The sequence below is a fragment of the Homo sapiens genome, chromosome 1 (assembly GCF_000001405.40).
Source record: "Homo sapiens chromosome 1, GRCh38.p14 Primary Assembly".
Classification (NCBI taxonomy): Eukaryota; Metazoa; Chordata; class Mammalia; order Primates; family Hominidae; genus Homo; species Homo sapiens.
In genome coordinates, this window is record NC_000001.11 from 173,521,739 (window position 1) to 173,535,432 (window position 13,694).

Below are 13,694 nucleotides of genomic sequence, written 5' to 3' on the forward strand. Positions count from 1 at the left end.
CTTTTTTTCAGCCCGTTTGAGGCTTGGGTTATAATGGTAAGCTAAACAATTCCCCTGCCTTCAGAAAAAAGTTTTAGTTATGTTGGGTAGATATTTACAATCCAATGGGATAATTATGACAAAGAAGACAGGGACAGGGCGCTATGCAAAAAAAAAAAAAAAAAAAAAAATGCAGAAAAGGCCGGGCGCGGTGGCTTACGCCTGTAATCCCAGCACTGGGGAGGCCGAGATGGGCGGATCATGAGGTCAGGAGATCGAGACCATCCTGGCTAACACGGTGAAACCCCGTCTCTACTAACAATACACGGTGAAACCCCGTCTCTACTAACAATACAAAAAATTAGCCGGGCGTAGTGGCGGGCGCCTGTAGTCCCAGCTACAGGCTGGGCAGGAGAATGGCGTGAACCCGGGAGGTGGAGCTTGCAGTGAGCCGAGATCGTGCCACTGCATTCCAGCCTGGGCGACAGAGTGAGACTCCATCTCAAAAAAAAAAAAATGCAGAAAAGCCACAGGATCCTATCTTGGTTGTTCGGTGAGGACTTTACAGCAGACAGGACAGCTAAGCTGAGACTTGAAAGAGGAGTAGCAGATAGCTCGGATAACATGAGTTGAAGACCTCCAGGGCAGAAGATTCATATATGCAAAATCCAGAAGCAAACTGAACGTCTGCAGTTAGGGTAATAGCAAAGATTGTATATGTCTCAGGCAGGGAGGGATGGAGACCAGGGTGGAGCCATCCACTAGGCATCAGCAGGCGCAGTGCCTGCATCTACAATACTTTTAGACACTTAAAACAATGTTTTAATGTTTTTTAGAATCTGGAGGAAAATTAGTTTTAGATAGAGAAAAATGTTTTAATAGATAATACTAATATATTCATTGTGATACTAACACAGTCATAAAGTCTAATTTTTAATACTTTTTTATGGAGGAAGAGGCCCACTAAGGCAGAAGTGCCCAGGGCACCTGAGAGTCATGATGTTCTTCGGGCCCTCTGCAACTGCCCTGACTTCATGTGCTCTCTCCAGCTCTGCTCCTGCCAGGGACCTCTGTGCTGCTCCTGGAACACTCCAGGCACACTTGGCCTCGGGGCCTCCTTGCACCCACTACTCCCTTTGCCTGGAGTGCTCTTCTGTAAGATACTAGCTGGCTTGCTCCCTCACTTCTTTCACATCTCTCTTCAAATGTCACCTTATTAGAGCAGCCTTCCATGGCCGCTCTGTGTTACCTTTTCTCCCCTTATTTTTCTCTAGCACTTAACAACCATCTGATAGGCTACTTATTTATGTGTTTGGTGTGTTTATTGTCTGTCTCCATCCATACACTAAAAGCTTTTGAAAGCAGGGACTTCTGCCAGGCACAGTGGCTCACACCTGTAATCCCAGCACTTTGGGAGGCCAAGGCGGGTGGATCACTTGAAGTAAGGAGTTCGAGACCAGCCTGGCCAACATGATGAAACCCCGTCTCTACTGAAAATACAAAAATTAGCTGGGCATGGTGGCACAGGCCTGTAATCCCAGCTACTTGGGAGGCTGAGGCAGGAGGATCACTTGAACCCGGGAGGCGGAGGTTGCAGTGAGCCGAGATCACACCACTGCACTCCAGCCTGGGCGGCAGAGTGAGACTCTATCTCAAAAAAATAAATAAAAAGAATAAAATAAAAATTAAAAAATGAAAGTAGGGACTTCATCTGTTTTGTTTACTGCCATATCCCAAAACCTAGAACAGTCTCTGGCATGTAGAGGATATTCAATAGATATTTGTTGAAAGAATTCAAAGTCCTGTGGCAACCGTCAGCTGACAGAGCATGAACTTGAATACACCTCAGTTCTCACTGTTCCCTATTACACTATGCCCAATTGGCTTTACTTTTACACTATCTGCCCGGTCTGTGCAGTAACTTAAATTTGAGACCCTTGCTCTAAAAAATGTCTCTCCCAGAGTGTACATCAAGAAGTCCAGAACTCTACAACATAAAATAGAATGGGATTGGTAATAGTCAGACACATATAGCTACTCATAAGCGGATAAGCCATTGTGAAAAACTATCTTTGCCCTTTAGGCTCAAAAAGAGATCTAGTCTTCCTCTAGGCTTTCCTGGGCCTCCATTTTGGCTTTCCCTGAATTGGCCAGTATGTGATATGCTTTTCTGTTAATCTTTCATTAGGGAGTGGAAAAAAATGGATAATTACCATCAAACCTGAGCCAGAATAGAAAACGGAATCTTTACCTTGAAGAAGTCAATGAGAACATCTTTACCTTCCAGCCAAATGATGTTGTGAAGGTATATGTCAGGAGTTGGGGGTGGGATTGCCTTTGGAAAGTTATTTAGTGCTTTTAATTTTTTAAGAAGTACCTAAAAACAAATAATCAAAATAATGGGGATCAGATCCTGTAACAGAAAATGGACACTAGGGAAAAACTAAGGAAATCTAAATAAACTACTGTTAGGCAAGTTTAACCTTGATTGTTGACTCACAGCTTGTCTCATCCTATCTAAATTCCTCTAACCATTTTTGTCCCTAGTCTCCCCTTATTACTATTTTCACTGACTTATTAACTCAGATTGAACCTATCATCTTCATAATTCAATTGACACAGTGGATGGAGAAGCAGAAAAATCTAGTGAGTCTATAGGGAAAGCCAAAGGAAGATGCCATAGAGGGCAACCCTGATAGGAAATGGAGAATCTAGAAAGCTTTCTACATCGCTGTTCAAATCCCTTCCTTAGGCCTTGTCACATATCCTGGCTATTGTGGGTTCTATAAAGTACTCTGCGTCCTTTTGATAAATCCCCCAACCATTTCTTTACTAAACTTAGTTCAAGTTGGTTTCTGTTACTTGCAATCAAGTAGTTTTGACAAATGGAGTGTACCGGATTGCATCGGCATTCGTTGTCCTTTGCATTATCAAAGGCTGAAGGTGATTATAGAGTTAACACCTGTGGTTAAACAATTTTTTCAATCTCCCTCCTTATTACACACTGCTAAAGTAACCATGAAGGCTGGGGTGTTATGCGGACAGAATCAAGCAAAATTACCTTATTTATCTCAATGACTTCATGCTTATCAATAATGCCTCTTGAACAAAGGAAGGTGAGATTTTTTAGAGCTTTAGCAATCACATTCCGGATTGCCTGTTTAGTCTTCAAAGCAATGACAACATCACGACCCTCATGCTCCATGAGTACTACAGCAAAGAAAATAAAATTCAGTAAGTGGCCTATGCAATAACCACAATAACTAATATTAGTATAATACTGTATAATTTCCAAAGCATTTACACAATATTCTTTGATTCTAGTTTCATGCAGAACTCATGAGGTCAGCAGGCAAAGAGTTATTTTCAACTCTATTTTATGGATGAGAAAATTGGAAACTGGCTTCCCCCATCAGCTAAGAGAAAATCACTCTCTCTCTCTTATCCCCATGGCATCTCCTCCATATCTCTATTATGGAACTCATTACATTATCATGTTACTATTTTTACTTCTCTGTCTCATCCTCCATATTGTATAATTTTTGTTGGTTAGACGAATAAATGACACAATGAAAGTACCCCTGGACTTTGGCTGGTGGGTCTTTCTGAGATCAAGGAGCATATTCTTTCCCCTTCAGTAAACCTCAGAAGACATGAACTGGACTGTGAGTCAAGGTTAAAATTGCATCTGTTTCATCTTCATATTCAACATTGAACACAATGCTTGCCATATCGAAGGTACACACTCTTTTCTTTTTAACTAAATGAATTGACCACTAAAGTGAAAGGTAGCAATGATCAAAAGCATAGGTTTTAGTGTCAAATACACCTGGGCTAGAAACCTGGCTCACTACTTACTAGCCATAGGGCCTCAGGCAAATTAACCTCTGTAATAATAGTATTTGCCTCACAGAGTAATTATAAGGATTAAATGAGATAATGTACATAAAGAGTTAGCAGTTCCTGCCATGATAAGCATTCAGTCATCAGTTGCAGTAACCACATGGAAACAAGCACTGCCTTTTAGAGTAGTGAATTGAGAAAACTTTGTAATATTCCATACTGATCTAAAACATAATATAATGCAGCTGTCCTAACCCCTAATCTTTAAAAGCACAGAAATAAAAATCTGTCAACATATAAATGGCAACAATGGGTCATGGGTTTTCTGAGATAATGCCAAAATATTCTAATCTGTTGTCTCTAAACTTACACTTTCATTCATTAGATCACATTCTTTCCATTTTGATTTGGAAAGTGTAACCCCATATGGCATCTTACAATGTGGTCATGAATATGAAATGGTTTTACTTTATTTTCTTTTCTGATAACTTCCATTTATTAAGGGCCTTCCATATGCTGGGCCCTCTACCAGATGCTTTTGCACACACTGACAGCCTGGCCCACAGCCCCCCATGAGAAAAGCTGACCCAAAAAAACTTGGCATAAAATCCCTGGGCTCCTGCTCTGTGCTTCAAATAAAGTGGAGTGACTGTAGATACTCAGGAAATGACATTCGTTGCAGCCCTATGTTCCAGAGTATCTTTGCAAAAAACAAAACAATGAAACAAAACCATTTTGTCAAAGGTAACCTTCACATGTCTTTTTCTTCTAACCTTGAGGACTCTGACCTTGCCACCTTAATACACTTTCCACACTCCTCTCATTCTTTCCTGTACACTCCCATAACAACTAACAGGACTCTGCTAACTTTTTCAATTATCTATTGATACGCTCATACACTCCACAAGATTCTGCACTGTTTAAGGGTCAGGATCTACTCATCTTTGCTTTCCCATACCTGGCCCATTAGCTGTGTTTAATAAATGCTTGTTGAATGCATAAATGAATGAGCAAGTAAATGAAAGCATGAATTGTTCTTCTTTTATTAAATTATAGGACAATAAGGTATGACTTTAAGAACTCAGATACTTCAACTACCTACCTAATTCTTTGACAGCATCCTGTTTGTTGGTTTCCAAAATTTCACATAGTTTCTGTAAAAAATTAAGAAAAACATGTATTTCTTATTATTCATATAGTTTCTGTAAGAAATTAAGAAAAACATGCATTTCTTCTTATATTCCTGAGAAGCATACTTATTATACCAAGTATAGTTCTGGCTTTCCTTTTATTTTTATTTTTTGAGACAGAGTCTTGCTCTGTTGCCGAGGTTGGAGTGCAGTGGTGCAATCTCAGCTCACTGCAACCTCCACTTCCCGGGTTCAAGTTATTCTCGTGCCTCAGCCTCCCAAGTAGCTGGGATACAAGTGTGAGCGACCACACCCAGCTGATTTTTGTATTTTTAGTAGAGATGGGGTTTCTCCATGTTGGCTAGGCTGGTCTTGAACTCCTGACCTCAGGTGATCTACTCACTTCTGCCTCCCAAAGTGCTGGGATTACAGGCATAAGCCACCACACCTAGCCTGGCTTTCCTTTTAAATTCAGAGAAAAGGAAGTATGGTAGAGGACATTTCACCTAGTTTTAGAAAAGCTATTGGCTCATTTCTTCCCTCTGGGTCAATTCTGCTGCTTTGCCCATGCTCAGACGTCAATCTCAATGAGTCTAGTACAGTCAGTAGCTTGCATAACTACCTTGCCTAATAGTTATCAGAAAAGATCAGTATGTACTCCACTGTGCACCAAGGAGAATTCTCATAGCGCCTCATTTGGCAGTGAGCCAAGTGAGCAGCTAGTTGGGAAGCCAGCCTATCAGGAGCACAAAAAGAAGTGGAAAAATGAGAAAATACGATATTGATTAGTTCATATTTCTAACAAATAACTCCTTAGATAACTGAAGAAATCACTGCACTCCAGGGCTAACCAATCTCTGTTCAATCAATCATACAACAGGTATTTGTTGGATGCCCACTATGTCCCAGGCACTTTTCCTCTTAAAGCTTACCCTCCAGCTTTGAGTCACTGGGGAGTTTGCACTTGGCTACACCAACAGTCCTGGAATCACACAACTGACAGTTCTTTAGGGTTGTCAGGTACAGATGTCTGAAACTCTGCCCCAAATAATGCATGGCATAGTGCTCTTTATAGGGAACACCTGGTTTGTTATCTAAAGTTTAAGCAAAGTTAAGTTTTTGTGGGGTTTTTTTGTTGTCTTTGTTTTGGTTTAGAAAAAAATCGCATGTAATGAATCCCTCATTTTGAATATAAGAATAAGGTATGTAATATTTATTAAATTATTTCTTCTTACTCGATAACATTGCATCAATATTGGGAAGGTGCCAAATTACTAGCCTGTCCATGGCACCAACATATCCTAGCCCAGCCCTGCTTGCATAGGTGCAAAGAAAGCAGCTAGGCCCCCTTCACACCAAACTAGACTTACAGCAACCCTGTAAGACTGCTCTAGAACGCCTTTGCACAAAAGCGCATGGGACCTGACTCCTGCCTACAAAGAGAGCATAATCATGAAAGCCTGGGCATACATTTATTTTTCTTAAGGTGAGCTGCCACAGGCCAATTTCCAGAACCAAGTCAGTTTCAGAATAAACACCAGTTAGACATCTAAACACATCTCAAAAGGCCATTTAAATCTTTACTGGTGCTTCTTTCAAAATGTCACAGGGGATTCACTTCACCTGTGACACGTCAAGGCAACTGCCCTCAGATCTCTGCATCTTCTCCCAAACTCCTGAAAACACATTCTTAACTCCCCCCACTGTCTCTTGTTTTTCTTCTCTCTTCCTCCTTCTGCTGAAATCTTTTCTCCTATGAATAGCTCTGTGTTCTTTCTAATGCAGATCAATCCAGCCTTTGAGTAGTTCTTTTAATTTTCTTCTCCATTCTTCAAAGTAAAGCAACAGGACAGAATTCTGTTACACATTAATGTTCAATCCAATAAAGGTAGATATCTTCACAGCCTCTTTTCCTCTTCTTATTTCAATAAGTAAAGAGCCTCTCTTGACTGAGGTAACGTAACCGTCACCACAAAAAATAGGCACCGTAACCAGAAGACATAACCTCTAGGCCATCCATGGTTTTATGTATCCACACATAATCATTGTAGTAATCAGGATTTAAATCCATCTCCAGTTAAAAATCAAGAGTGTAACTTGGGCTGAGAAAACACCTTTCAGCTGTTGATACTGTTCACCTTAGCCCCTCATTGACACGTATGAAAATATAACCAAAATCACCAAACACTGGGGGCAAAAACAGAATGAAATATAGAAACCAAACACAATGAATAGGAGAGTGAACCCCAAGGAAGCAGAATTAACACAGGAAGCAAAATATCTTTTAAGATGAAAAGAAGATTCTAGATAATATTATGTTAATTCTTTTAAAGCAAACAGTTGTTATGAAAAGGAAGCAACCACAGTTTTTGGAGATCAAAAAGTAATTGTCAAAAAAAATTAAAAAGTTTAATAGATGGGTTGAACAGAAGAAAGAACACAACTAGAAATTTAAAAATCTGTAACCTGGAAAATCAATTGAAAGATTCTCACTGCAAAGAGCAGAGTTGACAGCTATGAGTGAAAAATAAGGAAGTTTTTTATCTAAAGAATGCGAGTCTCCTCTACATTATCAGGCCCAAAGAAGCATGAGAATGAGAGAGCAGTCACGTTCCACTTTCCCCACTCTTTTGCGAGTGACTGGTAATAGACAGACTGGTGCGAGGGAGCCTGGTTAGGAGAGGATTCACTCCACCTCTAGGCTCCCATCTAGTACTTACAGCATAGTGGCTGGAAATGAAGAGGGTCTTAAATGATAAAAAATAAATACTTCTACTCACCCACCCCACAGTACCAGGATTTCAACTTTTCACTATCAAATCTTTGTTCTCTTTTCCTCTCTTCCTCTTCACTTAAGACTTACCCTTTCTTTGAAGCCTTTTTCAAGTCTCAACTCCTGCATACACCTTTCCAAGTGCCCTGTCTTTTAGAGAGTGTTACAGAGACATACTAGATCTCTTCTCTATACTCTGCACTCAGAAAAGAGATCATATGTTTTCTGCCATGAAGATAATAAATGAGTTTGATGATAACAGCTGAAATGTAATGATCAGAGACTGTTCTCTGTAGCACCTCATATGATATAATAAACAACTGAATCCCTTTCAACTGTTGGAATTTGTCTGTTTCGTCAAACACACATAGAACTAGTCTTAAAAGAAGTTAATACACCTAAGGGGTTTTTCTCCCCAAATGACCAGTGCTTGTTTCTCACCTGATATATTGATTCACAGACAGCTATTTGTTTTATTAGAAGTTTGGCATCTTCTTGACTTTTGATATAGCCTTTTGTAATACTATACATCAAGCTGAGGCGCTTTTTGATCTGCACATCTGCAATTCTTATCAGTATTGGTACTATTATCTGGAATAATGAGAAGAAGAAAAAAAAACCTGTACATTTGATGAGGAAAAGCACCCTCTGAGGCAGAAATTCATAAAGTGTCATCTCCAGACCAGCAACAGCAGAGCCCACAAACTTGTTAGGAATGCAAAATCTCAGGTCCCACTGGAGACCTGTGGAATCAGACACTCTTGGGTGGGGCCTAGTAGTCGATGTCTTAGCAAGTCTGCCAGGTGATTCTGTGCCTACAAAAGTCAAGACCCATTCTCTAAAGAAGGTGAAGCTTAGTGAATAACTGACTCTTGCTTTAGGGGAAAGTCTCTAGCACTGCCTTTTCCCTCATTCTCTGTACCCCCAGATTTCAGAAAACCCCTAACCAGGTCTCCTAACCTGGGTCATAGTTACTCACTGAACAAATCGTCTCTCTGTGCCTCAGTTTCTTCACTTGCAAAATAAAGAACTTAGGGTATCTAAGATCCTGCTTAGTTTTATATTTCTCCAATCATAAGCTAAGGCAGGCTAGTGTCATGACTTAAGAGAATGGGATTTTAAATATACACCTCTCTAAATTCAAATGCAAGCTCTCCTATTCACCAGCTCTGTGACCTTGAGCAAGTTATTTAGTGACTTTGAGGACTCAGTTTCCTCATGTGTAAAATGAGGAAATAATATCTAAATACCAGAATTCCAATAGAGGGGCTCCTCAAAATCCACATCGTCACTCACACAGACAGGGGGCTTCCCACAGGGTTAAAGTCATGTCAGAGCACAGGGGCAGATGGCGAGGGACTGGGTAACAAGGGAGAAGAAAAAAGTGAACCGGGAGATGGCATCATAGTGAAGGAATTCCAAGAGCAGAGAAGGGAATTTTTTTTTTAAGCTGCTATTTTGCCTTTGAAATTTTGGACAAAGGGAGAGATGTTTAAAGAGGATTTTTTCAAAGTTACACTCTACAGTGCACTGACACTCCTTGAGCTATCCTTTAGGGCACCTAAAGATTGCCAGTATTCTTTCACGTTTTCCAATGCAGATTTGTTTTTTTTGAAAGCCACATTATGCTGACAATGGCTATGAGCCACCTAACTTTACATAGTGGTGAAATCTACCTCACAAGGCTATCCTATTAATTAAACCAGATAATTTATGTAAAGTGCTTTAAACAGTTCCTGGAAAATAGTGAGTGTTCAATTAAAAACCATGGTAATATACTTCACTGAGATTTGTCAGAGCATGCTAGACAGAAGGGATGACTAGTTCAGAACATTGCTGCCCACACTCTAAATGGATTTGGTTTTTGTAAAGTCCCTAATTAGGCAAAAGGAGTCAGGCTGGTGGGATCAGGGGAAAGCAAAAAGAAGCAGCAGATAAGCTGCAAGTCTGCCTTTCTTTATGGCCCAGGACGCATTGCCCTCCTACACAAATAACTCAAAATCTTGTGCCCAACTACCACCAGACTCCTGCAAGTTAGCTCACTGCAACCATGGCATTAACAGCACAAAGCCCTTTTCAACAGACAGCATAAACACTATCCTATAAAATCTCCAGCAAGCCTTTGCTTCTTTGCAGTTGGCTTCTTTCTTGCAGGCTGCCTGTTGTTTCCCTGGCAATGTATTTTTCTACTGTCTCTAATAAATAAATATGCCTTTCTTCATCTACAACTGTCTTGGTAAATTCTTTTACTGCGGCGCCGCCAGCCCATAGAGCTGTCACTCCCCGTGACAGTTTCCACAATAATACACTTTTAAATCTTTGTTTCATTTTAAATACTTTTCACGAAGTATGACTTCTAAAATAATTATTTTATATTTACCTGCATACGATTTCTGTATAAATACTGATTACCTAAAGAAACTCCTACCTTCCATTTTAAGTCTTTGCATCACACAACACATCCTGATTTCTAGGACAGTTTACATGACGGTGGAGTTACACCTTACATGAGCACTTTGCTCCAAACTCAGCTCATAAGGCAAAAAGCACATTGAATCAAAATTACCCTTTAAACCAGGTACAGTAACTCTGAACGGTAATTCTTATGAACACTAAAGTTTGGTCACACCAATGTAGAATAAATGAAGGAACAAAAAAGAAAATCTGTAAGCACAAACTGGATAGTCAAACAATTCTGCCTTAAAGATAACTATTAAATGTTGTGGAGAATGGGAAGTAGGTGGAGGAGTCTAATATGTGCATTTCACCATCAGAGTTTATAGCAATTTTTTTAATGTTAAGTCTCTGTATCTAACTTCAATAAATACTAATATAATAGATTTGCTTGATGTAATAAGAATTAAACAACAACAAACATGGCATGGCAAGTGAAATCATTTAAAGCCCTGAAGTTAAAAGCTTATGTAATGCAACTCCATTGGAAAGAGAGAAAGGAGGTTTAAGAATTGAAACTGAAAGTATAAAAATCTGCCTTCAGTATCAAAACCAGAGTCATGGAATGAAGGCATAGTAATTGTTAAGGAAATTGAAGGCCACAGTAAAATTAAATTCCATAGGTAGTATCCTATGTGACTGTGGAGCTATGGAGGAAATATTTTTGTTTCTGTACAGTTTGGGAGACATGAACAAATTTTACTGAAACTTAAAGAACTTGTATTTGGGTTACCCTGCTTCTACTGGCACCAAGATTTTTATTCTTTCACTCAACAAATATTTATTAAGTGCTTACTATACGCCAGGCACTGTTCTGGAGGCAGAGGTTACATCAATGACCAAAACAGGCCGAGTATGGTGGTTCATGCCTGTAATCCCAGCACTTTGGGAGGCCGAAACAGGAGGATTGCTGGAGCCCAGGAGCTTTAGACCAGCCTGGACAATAAAGTGAGATCCCATTTCTATTAAAAAATGTAAAAAGAAAGACCAAAACAAAGATCTCTACCTCACAGAGAGTACATACAATATACAGTAAATTGCTGATAAGTACTGTGGGGCAAAAATTAAAGTTGAGCAGGTAGAGGGTAATCAGGAGGATGAGGTAGAAATTGAGGGTGTGAAGGGTGGGTTGCCAGTTGACATAGGCTGGTCAGGAGAGGCCTCTGTGACAAGCTGAGATTTGAGCAATGGCTTGAAGGTGACGAGAAAGGGAACCATGCAGATACCTATTGAGAGGGTGTTCCAGAAGAGACAACTCCTGCTCTCATTTCTTTCAAAACAATGAGGTTTCTTACTCACTTAACACACAATGTAAAAAAAGAATTTTAATACTTTATTTTATTATTATTATTATTTTTTGAGACAGAGTCTGGCTCTGTCACCAGAGCCATCATTGCACTCTGTCTGACTGGAGTGCAATGGCACAATCTCAGCTCACTGCAGCCTCACCTCCTGGGCTCAAGCGATCCTCCCACCTCAGCCTCCCAAGTAGCTGGGACCACAGGTGCACACCATCATGCCCAGCTAATTTATTAATTTTTTGTAGTGATGGGGTCTTGCTATGTTACCCAGGTTGTCTCAAACTTCTGGACTCAAGCAATCCACCCACCTAGGCCTCCCAAAGTGCTGGGATTATAGGTGTGAGCTACCACTCCTGGCAAATCTTAATATTTTAAAATGTGAAATCTTACCTTGAAGAGAGGAAGAAACCTAATTATTCTTAAATATCCCATTATTACTGTAAGCTGTATAAGAGCCAAGTTGTCTGGTCTCAATTTCACAAAGTATACACAAAAGATATCAATGATTCCAATAACCAGGATAAAAAATTCCAAAGTATTCCAACATTGTTGAAAATATTTCCTTTTCAAAATTATTATCTGTACAGAAAACAAATGTCATTTCATAGCACCTATACAGTAATGTTGGGGGGAAGAAATCTATAAAATTAACAACTAAGTTCTTAACTACAAATGAGTTATATTCCGAAAGTTGAGCTTTAAGTTATTCATTTGGAATCCCCCCAAAAATTCTTTAAAATCTTCACCATTTATAATTTGATTTAAAATATATACTCTATAATAAAGCTGGAATGCCAAAAACAACTATTAAAAATAGCAATAAACAGATTCATTGCAATACTATTAATAATAAAGTATGAAATAGTAATGCTCATAAATCACCTTTTACACATTTATACTAATAATTAACTCACATTTTATGACAAAGACCTAGCAAACCAATTCTTATTCACTTATTTATTTCTTGCATCATTACACAAAATATTTGAGGGAAACGTCCATGTCTGGATTTTCAATTCTCCTTTACCTGATCCTTGAGAATCTCTCTACTTTTATGATACTTAACTGATGTCCAATACCATGACTCTTATACTAATTTCACTATTAAACTTGGAAAATTCAAAAAGCTTACTAAAATTCTAGGATCTCATCAACTATCATAGCAAATGGCTCTTGGTATCAAGTTACTTCAATAATATGACAAAATAGATTCAAAATACCTGAATTGCTCTTTTTATAGATTCTATTTCTATTTTAAACAGTACCTTCAATGTTGATTCTAATACATATAAAAACATAAAATAGTAGTTTATTGATATCAGTGCTGATACATTTAAACCTCTTGCCATTGGCCACAGATGTATTATCATAGGATAAATATATATCAAATTTATAATCTGTCCTGTATATTCAAATTCTTCAGAAAATACTATGTGAAATATAAAAGTCAGAAATGTATTACTCCTGAAAAGAGATCAAATAAAATGTTAGATCACTTAAAAGTATAATTAGCAGCTGAAGTTCAATATTTGTTTAAACAAATCATTAAAATTAATTTGAAGACTATACATAATATAAAATAATAGTAAGCAAAAATCAAAAGCATATTTTCTATACATAAAAATCATAATGAAGAAAGGTAAAAAACATGATTTTTAAAAATCCATATCAGGGATGAGAAGCATTTTTAAAACTCAAGGCCACAGTACCCTGGAAACAATGCAAAGATTCATAAATAAAAACAAAAAACAAATAAATTTAGAGGAAAACAAATTACACATTGGATTGTTTAAAATCAAGAATGGGAAAAATATGATATTAAATAATTACTATGACATATATTTATTAAAACTTTTCATTCCATCTAATGTACAGCATGACAAAAAGAAATTCTTTGGATATATGTCAAGGTCCTACACTTTTGATTTTTTGTATATCTCTTTAAACTTATTAAATGGAAAAAAGTAAAAAATATTACTAGAATTTGTTATAAAAGGTTAATGACCTCTTAAAATTTAGCAGCATTAACGCCCTTGGTATGTTCTTGTTTTGGCATGTTCTATTGGTATAAAAATTATGTCTCTCTGCTCTAAAAAGTATGTAAGCTCACAATTTATAAAACTAAGTAAAATATCTACCCCAGTTAAGTAAAATCTGTGTTTTGTGATATTTTGGAAAATTGGTTACAGGTATTATTAAGGCCATGTTGTGTTT

General features: G+C 38.2%; 1 protein-coding gene across 15 annotated transcripts in view; it reads right to left on the reverse strand.

The window, feature by feature from the left end:
* SLC9C2 (solute carrier family 9 member C2 (putative)) overlaps window positions 1-13,694 on the reverse strand; it is a 102,613-nt gene that overhangs the window by 21,279 nt on the left and 67,640 nt on the right. For all 15 annotated transcript variants that reach the window (XM_047418170.1, XM_017001074.2, XM_047418169.1 and 12 more), the window contains 6 exons: window positions 12,746-12,944; window positions 11,871-12,059; window positions 8,167-8,316; window positions 4,925-4,976; window positions 3,041-3,189; window positions 2,231-2,356 (listed from right to left, as the gene is read on the reverse strand). In XM_047418170.1, coding sequence (XP_047274126.1) covers window positions 2,231-2,356; window positions 3,041-3,189; window positions 4,925-4,976; window positions 8,167-8,316; window positions 11,871-12,059; window positions 12,746-12,944 — 865 coding nt within the window. The remainder of the gene's footprint in view (window positions 1-2,230; window positions 2,357-3,040; window positions 3,190-4,924; window positions 4,977-8,166; window positions 8,317-11,870; window positions 12,060-12,745; window positions 12,945-13,694) is intronic.